Below are 19,996 nucleotides of genomic sequence, written 5' to 3' on the forward strand. Positions count from 1 at the left end.
TATTCCATTTTTCTCTACTAGGTAGTTTCCCTCAAGACAGCAAAATGGCTATAACAGTCCCAGGCCTAACCTTACACAGGCAGACCACACCCCTTAGCGAGAGCACTTCCTCATCCATTCTTCAACAAATCCTAGGTGTCATTCTCTTTGGATCAACCTAGGTTACCTGTTCAACACAGAATCAGATTATTACCTTGTTTACAGCAATGGTTCCCCACCCAATCTGATATCCTTTTACTCTGCTGAAATAAAATTCCTAGATAATACCTACCTACACACAGACACACACAACTTAAAGAAAAACCAAATAAAACTCTTAATTGTTAAGGGAGAAATAAAATTTACGATAAAATGTACGTTGTAATACATAAATACTCAGGTACGGCTACAACAGAAGACAGAGATGAATGTGACAGCTACAAATGAAAACTGACCCTTGTGTATTATAATGGCAATCCCAATAATATGTTGATGATATAATTTTCCAAAATGGCGAACAACTCTTGAAAGCATTCTAAACATTATTTCCTTGATTTATAAGGTAGTTGTATTGCTAAAAATTCAGTGTACTGCATATTAAAACCACACAAAAATATTTTGCATTAATATATTAAAAAGTCAGACTCGAGGATCAGATCATTATAAACAGGTTTTTTACCTATTTAAGTATCTGATAGGAAATCAGAAAGTCATGCAGGACAAGGGATAATTCTTCCTGGTCCTACCCATCAAATTGTTTGCAGTGTCCCCTAACCACTGAAGAAACACCCCTACAAACTGTCAAAATACCCCTCTAGGAGGACCTGCTGCCCTTATTAAGAGGTACTAAGAGTGATGAGGCTAAGTCAATGAGGCTCACTCAAACCTTGATTACTGCTACAAAATAGGGGAGGGTGGAATGGAGGATAGAGAAAACAATATCCAACATTACTACCTTCCTCATTTATAAATTAAAACTAAGAGAATTTCAAGTGTTCCCTCGAATGAAGGGCTTTCTATGAAAGTAACTAGTAAAGCAAAGTCCATTTTGTTTGTTCAAGTTCAAAAAAACATTAGAACTAAGATCCCTAGAAGACGGTATTTTGCTAAATAAAATATATTAGGTTTTAATCAACATTTGAATCCATTTGATGGAAATGCTACGTTTTAGGCAAAAGCAATGATACTACGGATTAAATATCCATTATTTTAAATCCCAAATATCCACAGATTTAATATCCCAAATAATTTCTTTGGTTTAAACAGTATTCATGCCTGCACATTCACTTACTTTTTGGTTGACACTGAAAATCATCATGAGCAGAGCCGCAGTACTATGAAGAGAAAGGCCACAGTGGACTAAAAGTCTCTTAGACCAAACAACCATATGGAGATAGGAAGTTCATCGCTGTTATCTTACAAGCACTTTTGTTACCTTTAAGTGAAGCAAAGCTCCTTGTGCTTCAGATTCCTAAGTATGGGAGAATGTTCTACAATCAAAATTTCTTTATTCCAGAGAAAGTATCACTGATAGCTACTTTGCAGTTCTGTAGCAGCCTATCTGTAAAGAAAATATGAAACAACTCACCCCATTTAGTCATTTTTTTCCCCTCTTCTCAGTTCTGTTCAAGACATAGTTGAGATAACCAAATCACTAGGATGTTTGCAAAGTCTCATGTTGGCTGCAGCTGCAAATATTTTTATTTGGTGAGGTAACACCTTCAGCAGGAGAATAAGGATTTTAAAAGGCAGCTCATATTCCATAACTCAGTTTGGCAGATTTATTATCAAATGTGTAGTAGGATTTGGATACAGAGATGGGATTTCAATATTTTTTTTAAAAACTCAAAGCTAGTATTATTTCTTTACAGTTCTTAAATCTGCTTTTTCTAGTTCTTCTAAAAGCATAAAGATAGCACAGAGAAGAATGTTGCCAAGGCTAAGGAAAGAGAGAGTATTCACAAAGCAAACTTCATTAACAGCAGTCATGCCTAAGTAAACTATCAAAAACATTAGTGACAGCAGCAGTATAGGGCTTACACACCAGTGTATAAATCTATCAGCAAGGCCCAACTTACCAACTAGTTTACTCCCAAACAATTCACTTATTTTGGTGGAGAGAGAGCCTTACAGATAAAAATCATTTCTACACATCTAAACTAATTAAAATCTAAATGAAATAAGTCCTGCCAACACCTACAGGTTTATTTCTTAAAATCTTAGGCATTAAAAAGTCTGTAATTCTGACAACCCACATTAATTTTCAGAGGAGGAAGGAACGTAGACAACTATTACATAAACCAAAATTAAGGTATTTCAATTTTTCAAAAGAGGTAGAAAAGTATTTATAGGGGAAAAAAAGCTTTATTGTAAAGTTAGATAAACTTAGGTATTAAATTGGCAATGAATAAGAAACATACATAGCCCAGTATCGAACACAGTTCACACAGTTACCCTTGGCATAACTTACTGGGTTCTGTGATAAGGGTCTAAAATACTTCTAGATTAAATTTAATTTTTTCTTTATCTTTAGAGGGCTAAATGCTGGTCCACTGCCATCAAAATGAGGGGAAATAAATGTTAATGTGTGTTTAGTTTCCATCTAAACTTCCTATTAAACAGCTCTAAAATTGTAAATGCCTGCCTTATTTCTAAAAGGATTTTTTATATTAAAATTTAAAATAAAGTCTTTACAAAAGATCTAAATGGAACTTTCATTTACAAATTTGTTTAAAAGTGTCAGGATTACAAAACTGATATTGTCAACTACTGATATCAGTTATTCTAGGTAGATGACACATATTCTCCCTTCTTTTAAAGATGAAAACAAAATGGCCACATCAGTTTTTCTATTGTAAAAAAGCTGTGAACTTGGTAACAATCGTGCTATAGTCTCTTAATACCATGTTTGGTCCTTAAATCTTACTTGCCTATGTATAAAATCTATTATCTTAAAAAGAAAAAAAAAACAGATCCAGTGGGAGAAAGAATGTTTAATAAATGGTATTGAGACAAATAGCTATCTGTTTGGAATAAAAATAAAATTAGATCCTTAAATCTTGTACCATATAGAAAAATACATATTACTGATGGATCCAAGAGTTAAAAAATAAAAATGTAAATATCCAAAATTCTACATACAATTTTAGGGGGTACACAGATTCTCTGAAGCCCACCCATGGATCCCAGATTATTATCTATAAGAGGAACTGTTAATTATAACCTCTATTAAAATCTCAATGCCAAATACTAGCTGTATTTAAGTCACATGCAACAAATGAAAATGAACACATTAACTCATTGTTATAACTTTATAAAATCTCCAAACTGGACTAGAAACAGAGGCATGTCAATACAAATGGACAGTGACTTAAAAAAAAATACACCAATTTAAATAAGTTTGAATGCATACTGTACACGTGTATCCATGTCTGTTAGCCTTTCAGAAATATAAAATCAGTTAAATCTGTAGTACTTAAAATTCAACATATGTAACGTTATTCTCAAACTTCATTAAAATAATAAATATACAAGTTATGTTTAATATGAGTAACTGCAACATACTTAAACATCTAAACATATAATAGGAATTCTATATTAAAATGCAATACTTTCACCTGCATTAATCTCTTACACAATGAAAAAATACTTGCAGATAATTAGCATTAAGAATGCAAATATATTTTTACTGTGGAAGAAAAATTCCAGTAATAAGGTTAGAAATCATATATCTGTATAATCTACAATGAAGCTGTAGATAGTCTACATTATGATATTCTATCTTAAAATGAAAACAATTCAATATTTAAGCTTACAACAAATTTACTCAAGGCAAAATATGTTTATTACAGAACAGGATCTTAAAGTAAGCAAGGCAACATGAGATCAACCATTTTAGATTTTTTTTTAATGAAGTGTAGCTTTGAAATTGTAATAAAGGTGAACATAAATTCTAACATGCTCTTCTCTTCTTATAAATGGGATGATGTAGAAAAGCAAAGCTTCAATGTATAGGGATTGGAACCATCTGTAAAAAGTAAAAAACAGTTAATATTTCACTTCATCAAACTTTCAAGATCACCTTGAAGTATCAGAGTAAATTACTTCACCTTTTTATACTAAATATAAGAAATATGGTGAATATAAAGCAGGAATATAAAGAAGTAAAATTGGCCAGATGCGGTGGCTCACCTGAAGTCAGGAGTTCGAGACCAGCCTGGCTAATGAAGTGAAACCCCGCCTCTACTAAAAATACAAAAATTAGCTGGGTGTGGTGGTGCACGCCTGTAGTCCCAGCTACTCAGGAGGCTGAGGCAGGAGAACTGCATGAACCTGGGAGGTGGAGGTTGCAGCAAGCCAAGATTGTGCACTCTAGCCTGGGTGACAGAGTGAGACTCCGTCTCAAAAAAAAAAAAAAAAAAAAAAAAGTAAAATTTCTAAGTAAAGTAAGGGAAAGATTTTTATTCATATTTACTGGAAGGTAAGCTCATGAAGGCAGGGACTTTGTTCACTGCCACATTTCTATTGTTCTCAACACTGTCTGGCACTCAATTTTTTTTAGTGAATTCATCATTAAAGAATAAATAGTATCAGGATTAAGCAGCAAAGCTCACATTGCAAAAATATTGCCAACAGTTAACTCTCTATAAAAGCCAATTCAAATACAGCTTGGGAAGTAGGTCAAAGCTGGAATGTACATGAAGACATCTATGATCCCAAAAGGTTCCAGGAAATCTAGTATTAAATCTCTCTTCATCAATGGGGTACATAAGTTTTGAAATTACTGAAAAAAAAAAAACAAACCAACTGGGTATACTTCACAAAAATATTTCCATTTTGTAAATTTTTCTTTCCTTTAATTTTTCAGACCAGGCAGAAACAGCTCTTCCTCAACTACATATATAAGAAATCAAAGCAAAGAACCAGTTTTGCTATCTTAATGTATCACAATTTTAGTATTAAAAGCTGTAGTTCATTAAAGAAAAAAAATTCCTGTAAGGAAAAGCATATGCATCAACAAGTGTGTACAAGACACTGCAGAGGATAAAAACATACATAACTGTCCCTATCTCCAAACAGTTTATAATCTATATACTGTCTCTAAGGTATTTCATATAACTTTAAAGCTTTTTAAAACTTTCTCTCAAAAATTAAGCCTGACTACTTAATAAAATTTCCTTTTTTTTCTTTTAACTAAAAGTAAAATGAGAAGAAAGCCGACACTGTGGCTTGTGCCTACAATCCCAGCAACTTGGGAGGCTGAGGCCAGAGGACTGCTTGAGGCCAGGAGTTCAAGACCACCAGCCTGGGCAACACAGCAGGATCCCTCCATGTAAAAAAAATTTAAAAATAAACAAATATACACCAATAAGCTGGATGTGGTGTTGCACTCCTATAGCCCCAGCTATTTGGGAGGCTGAGGTGGGAGGATCACTTGAGCTCAGGAAAGTCGAGGCTGCAGTGGGCTGTGATTGCACCACTGCATTCCAGGCTAGGAGATGAGCAAGACCCTGTCTCAAAAAAAAAAAAAAAAAAAAAAAAAAAGGTGTTTCTTACTTAACTTTTTATTTAGGAATTTTCAAACATACACAAAAATGTAGATAGGTTTAATGAATCCCCACATACCTATCACCCAGCTTCAATAATTGTCAATATTTGTCAGTCTTACTTTATCTACCTACCCTTCACACACAGTTTTGAAAGCTAGAATATTTTAAAGCAAATTTCAGATGTTATTCCAGCCATAAATCATTCATTGTTTTTTTTTCTCTTTTTTAAACCATCATTCATCACCACACCCAATAATGTTCCCCTATTATTTAAATACCCTGGAGATCCAGGATCAAAGTAAATTACACAGCAAAAAGTTTCAAAAATTAAACTTGAGTTTTCTCACGCCTGTAATCCCAGCACTTCGGAAGGCGGAGGTGGGCAGATCATGAGGTCCAGGAGTTCGAGACCAGCCTGGCCAACGTGGTGAAACCCCGTCTCTAACAAAAATACAAAAATTAGCTGGGTGTGGTGGTGGGTGCCTATAATCCCAGCTACTTGGGAAGCTGAGGCAGGAGAATCGCTTGAACCTGGGAGGTGGAGGTTGCAGTGAGCCAAGATCGTGCCACTACTCTACAGTCTGGGGGACAGAGCAAGACTCGTCTCAAAAAAAAAAAACCAAAAAAAAAAAAACCAAAAAGGCCATTGTTACTATTATGGAGACAAACAAACAGGTTAACAATTTCACTTGACTTGACACAAATTAAAACAACCAAATACCATTTTTCATCTATCATACTGGTAAAAATTGAATATCTGACAACACTCAGTGTTGCTAAGAGTGCTGAGCAATGAATATTTTCATATATCACGGTTGGTAACGTAAACTGGTGCAACCTTTATAAAGTACAATCTAGCAACATTTTACCTAACTATAAACCTTCATGCCCTACACTACTGAAAAACTGTCCTACAAACACACATTAGAAAGTGCAACTATTGACCAGTCGTGGTTGCTCACGTCTGTAATCCTAGCACTTTGGGAGGCTGAGGCAGGAGGATCACTTGAGCTCAGGAGTTCAAGACCAGCCTGGGCAACACAGTGAGACCTTGTCTCTATTAAAAAAAAAAAAAATTAAAAATAAAAAAAAATTTAAAAATAAAAAAGTGCAACTATAAGGATGTTTATTACAATAACAGAAAAAAACAAACAGAAGCAACCAGACTGTTCATCAGTGGGGGGACGGGTAAATAAGACAAAACTGTGATACATCTTGACTATAAATAGCTATCCTGAAAATGCTTTAAAAAGCTTTGAATGTGGCAATATAGAAATAGCTCCAAGATATAGTAAGTGAAAACAGCAAGACACAGGAAAGTATGTACAGAAGAATCATTTTGTTTTTTTATTTTATTTTTTTGAGACGGAGTCTTGCTCTGTTGCCCAGGCTGGAGGGCAATGGCGTGATCTCGTCTCACTGCAACCTCACCTCCCAGGTTCAAGCAATTCTCCTGCCTCAGCCTCCCAAGTAGCTGAAACTACAAGTGTGTGCCACCACGCCAGGTTAATTTTTTTTTATTATTTTTTTATTTTTAGTAGAGACAGGGTTTCGCCACATTGGCCAAGCTGGTCTCGAACTCCTGACCTCAGACGATCCACCCGCCTCAGTCTCCCAAAGTGCTGGGATTACAGGCGTGAGTCACAGTGCCTAGCCAAGTTTTAAAAATATATGTAATTATATATACACACTAGGGAAGAAAAAAAGAACAAGACAAAAGGTTGGAGGTTGTAGAAAGCTTTAACTTTTCATTTTGTACCTTTATGTACTGTCTGAGTTTTCTAAACATATGCATGTATTGCTTTCCTCTAAAATGATCAGCAGGGATTGTGGAAGCTATAGCTTGAAGGTGATTCCAACCTCCTGGTACTCCCACCCTGTATAGTCCCCTCCTACACTCACTGTACTGTTTGGTCTCTGTGACCAAAAAAATTATAACATTAAGTGATGGTATGCCACTTCCAATGTTAGGTTATAAAAAACATTGTTGATTTATCTCTTGGATCACTCAGAGAGAAGTCAGCTACCATCAAAAGGCCAATGTGGCTTGATTGAGCCTACACACAACCATATGAGTGCGCCTGGGGGTGGATCTTCTGGCTTCAGTCAAGCCCTGAGATTACTGCAGACTTAAACAACAGTTTGACTGCAACTTCATGGGAGATCCTAAGCCCGAATTGCCCAGCTGAAATGCACCCAAAATACTAACCCTCAGAAACAGTAAGATAATAAATGTTTGCTGTTTTAAGATGCTAAATTTTATGGCAATTTGTTATACAGCAATAGATAACTAATACAGGAATTAATATGCCTTTCTTTTTTGTATTTATCTGTATTTTTTAAGAAGCCTATTAAGTGTTATTTTTATATTACCATGAATGTTTCTGTGATGGTAACTGCCACTACATAATTACAACACAAATAAAGCATTTTACTTACTCGGCACTCTTATCTGATAGTGATTCAGTGCCGTAAGGGCTTCTACTGCATCAGTTTTGCACTCCCATTCTAATAGCCCAGAAAGTGTTTTGGCTGAAGCTAAAACAAAAAAACACAAACTCAGTTATTATTACTTGCTTATCACCAACTTAACCAGAAAGCTTTAAAAGAGGGACTGTTCACTTACGTTTTGCATCAAACACTTTATATTTGATGAATGTAAGAACTTCATGGTCATTACACAACTGTCAAAGAAAGTAAAACTTCATTAAAAATATAGCCAAAATAATATCCCACTTTTTTACAGAAAGTAAACTTTATGGCAGAATTTAAGTTTTAATTCTCAAATGAATGGATTAAATCAAGTATGTTTTCTACATTAATATCAAGCTGTATGAAAAAATCAATTAAAAACAGTAAAATTCTATAAACTATATTAAGTAACTTAGTGCTGTACAATAAAACCACAGATTTGTTAACTAAAATATATATTCTCAGAGTTGACCAGGATTTATCTAGTACTTAAGGTAGGGAGTAGAGTTCCACAAAATCATTTCTTATCTGAAGCATTTCTTACAGTTCCTACTTAGCATTTTCTAAGTTAGGGGAAACAATATGGATAGAGAAAATTTTGTTATGGGTGAGATTTAAAGACACGATATGTCTTTAAATAACTTTCTGAATGCAGGATTAAGATGACCTCATTCTAATTCCAACTCTCAAAAGGATTGAGCCACAAATCAACGAAGCCCAATGAGGAATGGAGGCCAGAAAAGTACAATGGTCAAAGAATAAACTATCCAGTACCAAGTAAATAAAATAGTAATAACATCAAAAGCAAAAGAATGAGCAAAACGACTTCAAAATGAAGCTAAAACAGATTTTAAAATAGGAAATAGCAACATTCTATACACATTTGTATTTCAGTGCCTACCTTTGTGAAGGTCTCTTCTGTGACACACAATGGAACATTATAATAATGCAAAACACAGGAGGGTGGCTGGATTATATTCTTAGATGCTTGGCCAGCACTTGTAAAGCGATTATTTTTGCTCATTGCAAAATCTTTGTAGCTGCTGGTACCATCCTCCAGCTCAAATATTTGACTTGGAACAACTGAATGTTGTTTAGACACGCTAAAGATTGTAAAGAAAAGACATACAAAAGTACTTTGTTAGATAAAAAGCAGCAAGTAGTCTCAGAATGCTAATATATTTTGCTTGCATAAATCTTAACCAAAAAAAGGCATACATAGAGCTATTTAAATAGAGGATTTAGTTTGGGTTATAATCAATCACTCTTGTAGTTTAGACATCAATTAGAAAGAAAATCTATTAAATATATTCTCATATTAGAAAACTTTAACATAAAAACGTGCCCATTTTAACACGTTTTATCATCATAAAACTAAAAAGCAGGTATCGCTAAGCAAAATCTGAGTGATACGACCCTAACTCTTGTCTAAAATAACAATATTACAGCTGTTGTTTCAGATGTGCCCTCAGTTACATTAAAATATTCTCAAGTTGACATTAATGTCTCTAATAAAAAGGACAAAGATTTTTAAATATTTTTTAAAATTTATCATTTAAGATAGATAATTACCAAACATTAAGTCTTTTCCCAAATAATTTGACATTATTAAGGTGTGTGACAGCTCTTTCTACAGCATACTCATCACCCATTTCTACCAGTGCTGTACCAGGAATGGTCTTCATAAATTTTACCTGTAAACACAAAATTCCAAAAAGGTGACCATTTAATTCCCTTTTACAGTAAAAGAAATTTTAAAACACAATACGACCTAAGTGGTTAAAGTAAAATACGGAAGATCACCTGGATTTTAACTATACTCTGCCATGTTATGAGATACCCTTAACTCTTATCAAAGTTCAATAGTTAAAAAGGAACACTATTGTATAGCCCACTGAAGAACAGCACAGGCTCACCCTAACTCTGTTATGTATTAATTGTGTGATTTGAGGGCAATATACTTAACTTCTCTGAGCCATGGATTGTCGCTGAAAATACAGATAATACCATCTGGCAGGACTCGTTAATATTTACTCTTTCAACAAATATTTATTAAGTGTCTAATATGTTTTGATAAGCACTGTGGTAGGTACTGGGGATTTAATAGTGAATGTTAACAGACATTATCTTCTTGAACCTTATATTCTAGTAGTTAAGTCAGAAATTTAAAAGTAAACAAATAGTAAGTACAAACTATGTAGAATTCTGTTAATGCAGTAAACAAGATGCTATATAAGAAATAATACAAAATAGCCTTGAGATAGCATGGTCACAGGAAGGCTTGTGCAACATAGGGGGATACACGTTATTTCAGGACAGTTTGGGCAGAGGCCATACTTACCCTCTTGTACTATTTCCAGTTTTAGAATGTAATGCTGTAAGGGTTAGAAGGTATGAAGTATGATATCATTCAGCCTAATGCTTAGCCCTTGGGAAATCCCTAAGTGGCTATTAAGTACAGTAGTTCCCCCTTATCTTTGAGGGATACATTCCAAGAACCCCAATGGATGCCTGAAACTGCAGACAATCCCTGGTGCAGTGGCTCACACTTGTAATCCCAGCACTTTTGAGAGGCCAAGGTGGGATGCTTGTTTGAGCCTAGGAGCTTGAGACCAGGCTGGGCAACATAGCTGAGACCCCATCTCTACAAAAAAAAAAAATACAAAACCAGCTGGGCATGGTGGCATGCACCTGTAGTCCCAGCTACTCAGGAGGCTGAGGCAGGACTGCTTGTGCCCAAGAGCTAGAGGCTGAAGTAATCTATGACGGTGCCACTGTATTCCAGCCTCGGCGATAGAACAAGACCTTGTCTCAAAAGCAAACACACAAAAAAACTGTAGACAGTACTGAAAGATAATTAGATAGATAGAGAGACAGAGACAGACAGAGATTAAACATAGTATATACTATATATAAGCATAGCATATATAGACTATGCTTTTTCCTGTACATACATACCTATGATAAAGTTTATAAATTAGGCACAGTAATAGACTAACAAAATAATAAAATAGAAAAATTATAAATGATCTACTATAATAAAAATTACGTGAACATGCTCTCTCTCTCACAATATCTTATTTTACTGTAGTCACCTATTGTTGGAGCAGTTAACAGTGAGTAACTGAAAGCAAAACTGTGGATAAGGGAGGACTCCTGTACCAATGACATAGATGACACCTTCAACGTAGTATTTCCTTCTTATCTATTGACGTCTAAAGAATACTGAGAATGTATTTACACAACAAATGCAACATGGCTTCTATTTCCATCACTTCAACTACCCACTTTAATAGGATATACTACACCTGTACTTGAACAAAACTCAGTCGTAACAGGATTTTTCAGCTTTATTTGAAATCTCTTGTCTTCTCATGGACAAAATTCCTCTCCCTTGATTTAATCCAATGACTATCTGCAAATCTAATAGTGACTAAATATACACATTAAATATGTGGTTCTTGTATTGGTAAATCTCCAAAAGAAAGTTAGAAAAAATTAACTATATATGGATCTTTAAAGGATTATGATAGTCTGAGTTCAACGTATCATAGCTTATCATTTAAAATGTTTTAAAAACTTGCAAGATGTAGAGTGAAAGGGACTAGAATTAGTCAAATAACATACAAAAAATCTAAGTTTTATTAGAAAAAGTAATTTGAGTTTCTAAATCATATGAGACAATTAGTTCACAACACAAAAGACATAGATCTACTAAAGATGTTGATTAAATTGCCTGATTCTGATTGTCTGCATATGTGAAAAACACAAAAAGAAAATACTCTATAAAGAAAGTTAAAATATACATTAAAGCCCATTTAATTATCAAACATGCATTCCCTCCACTTAACACTTGGGCCTAAGATAGTGTCTGTGTGAAAATAATACTTCTCCCAATGCTACTAAACCTATCCCATGTATTCTTGCCCAGTTACACAAGTATAGGTATCCCATATGTTATCTCCCAGACCAAATGTGGAATGTTTTGTTTTGTTTTGTTTTGTTTTTTACTGTGATCAAATGGTTGACAAAATTCTTGTTTCATAATTCTGAAGGGTTGCTTCCTCAGATCAAGAAGCTTTAGAATTAATGAACTAAGAACTAAATGTAGCAACTTTTCAAGCCATGTTCCCCTCCCACGCATAGTGACTCACATGCTGCAAGAACTTACTGTTGCAAAGAACACTAAAATCACTTAAAACAGGAAAAAAACACATTACTACAGTACTAAAACTCAAATTAGCAAGTGTTTTTATCAAACTACTGGTAACTTAAGACTACCATTCATTTTCCTAGTTAAATTTTCCATGATTCTTTCAAAAACTATTTATCTCACATTTGTGAGGTATCAATAAATAAAACCTCGCAGATTTGGGGAAAACACAGTTATTTGATAATAAAGTTACAATTATTAAAGACCTTCAAAATATGTATATTGCTAGACAGGAAGTTTTGGACACATTTTATCAAAGTGGGTCAGTTTCAAATACTGGTTGAGCTAAATGCACATGGTTCCTCCGAAGATAATAGAACCCTGGCATTTAGGAAGCAAGTGCATAAATTCTAGAACTCTTCTGAAATTCACAACTTCTGGCTAGGCTCCGAAGCTTGTTTTTATATATACCCTCCATGAAAGTAACTGCTCTTTCAACCTGTTAAACGCTAGAATCACTTTGAAATGAGATCACCAAAATATAGACTTCAGGCCTCTCATACCATAGTAGTTGATTACTACTGATTTAGACTTCTTTTTATATTGGTTATTTTAAAAATATTTGTAGTATCAACAACCTATACTTATTACTTATCAACAAAAAACATTTTCCAGAGTTCCTATATAATAGATTTTTAGCTTATGTGGGTCATTACTCAAAGAATTTGGATATTCCTGATACAAGGAGAAGACACATATTTGCAGCCTTTTCAGAGTTACCACTGAATATCCTAGCAAAAGAAACCAATATAAAGAGAAACTTACCTTCTCAATATTTCCATATAAGCAGAACAGGTTGAAGACTCTTGAACAATTCATTTTTAGTTGATGTAATCCACTAACCATTACAACTGAACCAGAGGGATTTCCTCCATGCATGTAAGAGGAAGAAGCCTGTGGTAATGGATAAGCAACAAGTTCAGGTGTATCTCGAGAGCCCATTCTGTAACGACTTGGTAAAGGCAATAATGGACCATGGGATCCTATAAAAATGATCAAAATAAATAAATTAGTTAACATATACACATAGTTGTTTGTAAATACTTTAGTAGATATACTGCACCACACACAAAAAATAAACTCTTAATATTAGCTAGTTTGATGTACAAAGAAAACTCAAATGTATGAATATTTCAGTATAACCTGAGGAAAATTAATAAAATCTGTATTCATTTGCACCAGATACAATATATATTGACCTATACCTGCATACACCAGGCTATAAGCTTACATTTTTAAAAAATTATAGTTTAACAAGACTATGGGGGGTTAAGAAAATGAATGTAAAGTCTGGGGCTACTGTATATAAATTATACCTCAAATTTAAAAAATAAACCTCCTGCCAATGTCTTTTGGAGGAGTAATAATATTACATGTACAGTGAAATCTGGGAAGCTATCTCTACACAGATATAACAAAAAGAACCTCTTCAGTTCCACTGAAAAGTTGTTTCCTTGAATATATTTTACTATGTACTTTCAGGTTGGTATCTTATTCCCCTAATTCTAATTTAGGAAACTAAAACCCTAGATTTAGTTAATAACTCAACTACACACAGGTGTCTTATTACTCTACAACTTCCATTTTTTTGAAACAGTATCAAGAACCCAGAAGGAAATAATGCCTGAGTATCTAAAACTATTTCAGCAGAAAAACACACTCAAATCTATGTCTCTTACATTGAGAATCCTCATTAAGAATCAACTTGCTAACTTTAGAGTAGCTTTAAACAACTTTATCTGTTTTTCCCATCCACAACAGATCTAACAAAAAATAAAGCTAGAGTGTAGAATGAAAAGAAATGAGGGTGGAGAAACTGACACTCAAAGTAGACACAGGGCACATTTTACAGCAATAAGAAGAAAGGCAGAGGAACTCAAAAGCAGCAACTAAGATGGAGACATGCAGCTTAGAAACAGAAACCCTACACATCTTAGATGCTCCTAATAATAACAGAAGCAACATCTAGGGTACATGCAAAGGTCCCCCTGATGTGCAAAACCAATCCAAAAACCCAAGTCCTTTCTCTATTTCTCAAGAAGAGTATGTAATGCCACTGAGTTGCACTTGTATATAGGACTAAGGGACAACTGTCATCTATCTACTAAGTGAGTTACTAAGAACTACTAAATTTTGGTATTCATAACATACTATTAGAGCTTATGGTGGACTCCAATTTTTGGTATTCTAACAGCTGCCATTCATAACAACACAGTAACACCACCACCAAGCACACACAAACACGGTGTGAATTTCTGCAATTTTAGGGAGGAATACTTTATCAATGTATCATCAGTGTCTCCTTAAATTGGTCATGGATTTCAACTACTCCTTTTATTGGCAATTGGTAGTTTAACAAAACAATCCATATGAGCGACTGTTTAGTAATTAGTTTTTAGGCTGTTTAGTAATTATTTTAGCCTCTAATTTAGACTCTCATACACACACCAAGATTCAAATATCAATTATTCTTATTCCTATTGCAAAAGTACATATACATAATATACTGCCTCCCCGCCACCTACCATTTGCTTGTACAGTAATGACATTTCACTATCATCACACTAAATTTTCTTTTTCATGGAAGTAGAAAGACACATGGTAGACAGGCAGTGGAAACTTTTACTCTATGTATAGTGGCTAAAGTCCAAAACCTCTGAGATCTACTGCCCTAAGTAACAACCAAAATCAGTCCACAAGAATAACTGATGTTTATAATTATGACTTTGAGCCATCATTATTAAATTATCTTATCTATACTACTTAAAGTATTACCTATATTATTTAAGATAAGAAAAATCAGACGTCTTTTAAAAGTTTTCTATACTAAATTGATAATAGAAAGTCTGGGTGTTTAAAAAACTAATGCTTCAAATATTTAAAAAACTGACATGGAAAAATGCTACATAAATGGTATATTAACATCTTGAAGGCATTTTTCATCTTTCAAGCTTTAAAATCTTTCGTCTACAAACCATATCCAAAGATGCTACAAATTAATACACAAACTCTTCTTGAGCTTACAGCAAATAAATCTATGTATCAATTTCTGCCATGGTTCAACTATGAAAGCTTCTACCAGTTCATATCATTAAGTCTGGGCTTCCCAAATTAAAAGAGGTAAAGAATTGTGATGATTCACATAGATTTCATACTGCTATAATAAACCAATGAATAAACTTAATCTGATGGAATCTATGGGTCCTGAACCATAATTAACTCTTTCTATTCCCTTTCTTATAGTCGTCACATAGGAAAAGGAAAGGTCATCTATAAGGTGATCCCAAAATGCAAGTAAACCTGTTTTGCTGAAGCGCTGATCTGAAGGGATACATTTGTGATTTGCAATATTTGTAAAAAGGCTCAATATCACTAGCACACATCCCCCATCTTTGCTTTTTCCCCTATTACTCATCTTACTTCTCTTCTCTGCCTCTTTATTCGCTCTCTTTCCTCCTATACCCCAATTCTGCTTACTTCCCTAGAAAAGTGGAACAAATTAACCTCAGATTAAATATCTTAATGGACATAGCTCAGAATGGATACCCCCCTACATAATCCCACCACAACTATCAAAGAATTTCACAATAGGCTTTTTAAAAATAAAAAATTTTGGCAGGGTATATAACAGCTTTTGTTTATACTATTTTTCGGTAAAATATTTTATAAAGGAAGGCAGACTTACACTAAGAAAAAAATCTGTTTCCACACTACTACAGCAGAGTTCCTTGTCCTTCATTTATTCTTTCACAGATTTTTCTAATCCACTTTGGCAAAATATTTAACCAGTTTTTAGCCTTCAGCTGACTGCCATGACTCTACAACTATACTACAAACTTGTAATGGCAAATTTTTTGTAACCCTCCATTATCAAAGTGCAAAAAACACCCAATGTTTTTTACTGCAGGATCAGAACTACCCATACAACCATGTTTAATGTTTACTCTGTTACAGGAATAACTAAGAAAAATAATCAAGGTACACATTCACTAAACCAGCTGTAATGAGATTTTCATTCTATACCACACTTACTGTTTTGACAAAACAGAGATGGTTTCAATCTTTTCTGCCATATAGACTATGGAACCTTGAAGACACACACACACACATACACAACACAAACACACTACTACAGTTCAAAAGAAAAACACTAGAAAGTAAGCTAAAACTCACAGCTAAGAATGGTCATTAAAGTAAGTATGTAGGCAATTTGAACCATTTAGGACAATAGGCAATACCAGGTGCTTTTCGGTGACCAATCCCAAGACTACAATATAGCAATTTCTATTTTCTGCCAGTTTTAATAGTATTGTGCTTCAACTTTAAAGCACAGAATAGGTAGAGTCAATAACTACCACTAAAAACTAAAGAATATTTTCAAACAATTTACAGCTAGTTAAAAGATTCTACTTATAAGAACAATAGTTTGATACCTAACGTTACCTAATTTTTTCCTGGGGCAGATTATTATTCTAGGTTCCATAATCTTATCAACATAGCAAAAAGTAAAAGCTGAGAAGTTTTAAAAGGGGAATAAACATGAACAAATTTAACTGAAACCAAAATACTAGCTACAGAACTATAAGGTGAGTCTAACCAGAAGCATGTTTCCTTTTTGACAAATACCCTATTCTTTCTGCCTTTATTACTCAAAATTCCTCTTTGTTGCTAATTGCTGGAATGAAAGAAAATACACTTACTGAACAATAATTCTTCTTTCTGGTCCTCTTACAAGCCAGAACCCATTAAAAATCAAAACCAAACCAAAATATAATGGCAAAAAAGTATTCAATCCCCAACTAGTAGCTCTCACTTATCTCAAGGATTTTTTTTAAATCATTATCCTAAGAAAACAAATTTTGGACAACTCCTGGGAGTACATTACAAGGGACTGATCCCATATAAACCGAGGCAGATACGCAGGAAAAATAGACAAGAAATGTGCCATACTTCATCAGAAATGCAGCAAGTCAAACAGTTCATCTATACTACCTTCTTTCTACCTTGACAACTTACCATAGCCATCATGTCTAAACGAAGAAGGGTGTTCTCCCAAAATGGCTTGTCTCTGGCGACCCTTTCCTCTATCTGACACAAAAGTAGAAACATGGTTTTAACAATTTTGACCCAAGTACTTAATGGAGTTCTCAGATGGGAAACACCCATTCAAAACATCCAATACAACAATTCATAAAAGAAATACGATTCCTGGTTAACTTTAAACATCCATTCATATCCAATTTAAACACAACACCAAGAGTGTAAAAAATTAATTCCATCTAACAAATTCCACTTAACTTGAATATATCTTTTTGGCAAATGCCAAATACAATCACACTTTCAAATTTAAGGAAGAATGGATACTTTTCAGAAAGTGAATGTACACAATGCTAGAAGTTTGACACTGTACAGAAGTTTTTACCAATACATGTCTTTAAAACAAGCTTTAAGTGCAGTACTTTTGAAAGACAGTACCTGAATCATACTATTAGCTTCAACAGCAACACATTTTCAAAGTGGGCTTCTTTCAAGAAGTTTCAGCATAAGCCAACAACAACCTGTATTACATGGTTTCACAATCAGTAAACACAGAGTATTTTATAAGTATATGCACATATTTACAAACACCTGACTTGAGAGCTGAAAATGTTCACATCACTGACTCATATTATATCATGAATAGGTCATTGTCTATTGACCATAACACCAGGTAGGACTATGAGCAACCCCAAACTTTAAAGATGCCAAGATAAAGCTAACCAAGGGGGCTACATTATTGGATGAGAATACTACAATACTCTAAAGGATAATTTTTATTCTAGCTACGTTTTCAGAAAAGGCATGCCAATTTTCCCAAATCTAATTAGAGACATCAACAAAAAAATTATTTATAAGTTTCTAAAATAGCACCTCCTATGTTAGTAAATTTTAAAAATCATTATACAATACTTTTAGAAAGTTTGCTGATGAAATTACAGTGCCCAATAAGATTTTTAAAAATATGTATCTCAAGACTCTGGTCATTCTAATCCTTGAAAATTCAGAGAGCCTTTACCTATATCCTTAGTCACCTAAACAAATGAGGTTTATGGGAGATGAGAAATACTTTAATTTTCACTTCAGTCTAGAGAAGTAGAGTTTTAATCACCTATTCCAAGTTATTGTGGCATTGAAAGGGACTGAGGCCATCTAGTTTAACTTTTACTCAATGTAAAAATTCTCTTTACATCATCTCTGTAAGTTGGGACCATTTAGCTTCTGCTTACCCAAAACCAATAATAAGATTTCCAGATAGCCCTAAATTGTGAGAAAATGAATTTTTATATTGTATAGAAATTGATCCTCTACCCATATTCTACCCCATTTAGGGCCTTACAGACTTAGTCGTTGGCCAAAACCTCTTCTAAATGCTCAAGAAGTTATTATGACTGTCCCCCCGACCCCATTTCCCCAAAGTCATTTCTTCTTCAATCCTAACATTCACAGTTCCTTCTACCACATGGCTTCTAACGTCTCTCATCACGCAAGTCTCACTCCTTTTGAGCCAATCTAGCCTACTAATCCATTCTGTTAATGTTCCTCTGCTTAAGCATACGCCATCAAACACTAAATACAAATCCTTATCTGACCTAGGAATCTTAAAACCACAACAACCATAATGTCTTCATGACTCAGTTTTATTGATACAGTTAACAGTGTGCTATAAAGGAAAGAGAACTGGGTTGGGAATCAGACGATTCCAACTTAAACCACTAATTTGCTGTATAGTCACAGAAACAATTTTCATTCATAAATGAAGGAGTTAGAGTAGATTATCTTCCAAGCTATCTTTCAGCCAAACATTCTCATTAATAATTCACTTCTAAATGACGAGTTAATGGGTGCAGCACACCAGCATGGCACATGTATACATATGTAACTAACCTGCACATTGTGCACATGTACCCTAAAACTTAAAGTATAATAATAATAAAATAAAATAAAATAATTAAAAAATTAATAATAATTCACTTCATTTGAAGTATTCACTGCGTAACAGGTCACGTAAAACAGAAGTGAGCAGAAAGTTGAACCCTAAATATATCAGTTTCTAAACAGTGGTAAGCTTTCCTAGAGTCAAATGATCTGATGGAAGCTGTGAACATTCTCCCCAAAAAGATGCACCTATCTACTACAGGTTCTAAGATTTCTGGAGGGGTTCCCTGGCGTCCTGGTTAGGGATTCTTTACACTAAAATGTAATTCAAGCTGAAAAGGGCTTTGAAAAAAGTGAGGGTATGTTTTTAAAAAAGTTTTTATTTTTTTTGGTTAAAAAAAAAAATGTTATGAAGGTCTTTATTTGGGGATAGCAACCTAACAGTTTCAATAGCTATCAATTTGAGTGCAAGCTAAGAGCTCTACAGAAACAAAAACATAAACTGTTATGGTCTCGCAAGACAAATATCTGTAAGGAATTAGAAAACAAAAAATTTTCCTTCAAAGCATAAACTAAAAACGTTTTACGTGCTTTAATTATATTTCACTATTCACATATATACCTTATACATTTCTAAACTTATCTGACTAGAATTATATGAAGAACTAACCTCAGCTGGCTTTGTGTAAACATCAGACCCTTTAAAAGAATAGATGTAAACACTATTAAAATAAGCTTATCTACACCTGTTTAAAGAGCCCCTGAGAAAAATGTAACCACAACTATTTCAAATGAGATTTTTTTAAAAAAACAAAACCGAGTGGTCAATAACTGTAAATTGACAGAAGTGAGACATTTCTCATCAACC

The 19,996-nt window shown here is 34.1% G+C and overlaps 1 protein-coding gene across 8 annotated transcripts in view; it reads right to left on the reverse strand.

Annotated features, from left to right (window-relative positions):
- Positions 1–1,737: 1,737 nt before the first annotated feature.
- The window catches only part of HNRNPLL (heterogeneous nuclear ribonucleoprotein L like), a 40,960-nt gene continuing 22,701 nt past the window's right edge, over positions 1,738–19,996 (reverse strand). For 2 of the 8 annotated variants that reach the window (XM_005264640.4, XM_005264639.5), the window contains 8 exons: positions 17,230–17,301; positions 12,979–13,196; positions 9,573–9,694; positions 8,902–9,103; positions 8,155–8,212; positions 7,968–8,066; positions 5,876–5,969; positions 1,738–4,006 (listed from right to left, as the gene is read on the reverse strand). In XM_005264640.4, coding sequence (XP_005264697.2) covers positions 3,886–4,006; positions 5,876–5,969; positions 7,968–8,066; positions 8,155–8,212; positions 8,902–9,103; positions 9,573–9,694; positions 12,979–13,196; positions 17,230–17,301 — 986 coding nt within the window. In that variant the 3' untranslated portion in view covers positions 1,738–3,885. Of the gene's footprint in view, positions 4,007–4,413; positions 4,763–5,875; positions 5,970–7,967; positions 8,067–8,154; positions 8,213–8,901; positions 9,104–9,572; positions 9,695–12,978; positions 13,197–17,228; positions 17,302–17,688; positions 17,772–19,996 lie in introns of those variants that run through there. The other 6 variants (NM_001142650.2, NM_138394.4, XM_047446341.1 and 3 more) reach the window with 5 other exon arrangements.

Source organism: Homo sapiens, chromosome 2 (genome assembly GCF_000001405.40).
Source record: "Homo sapiens chromosome 2, GRCh38.p14 Primary Assembly".
Taxonomy (NCBI): Eukaryota; Metazoa; Chordata; class Mammalia; order Primates; family Hominidae; genus Homo; species Homo sapiens.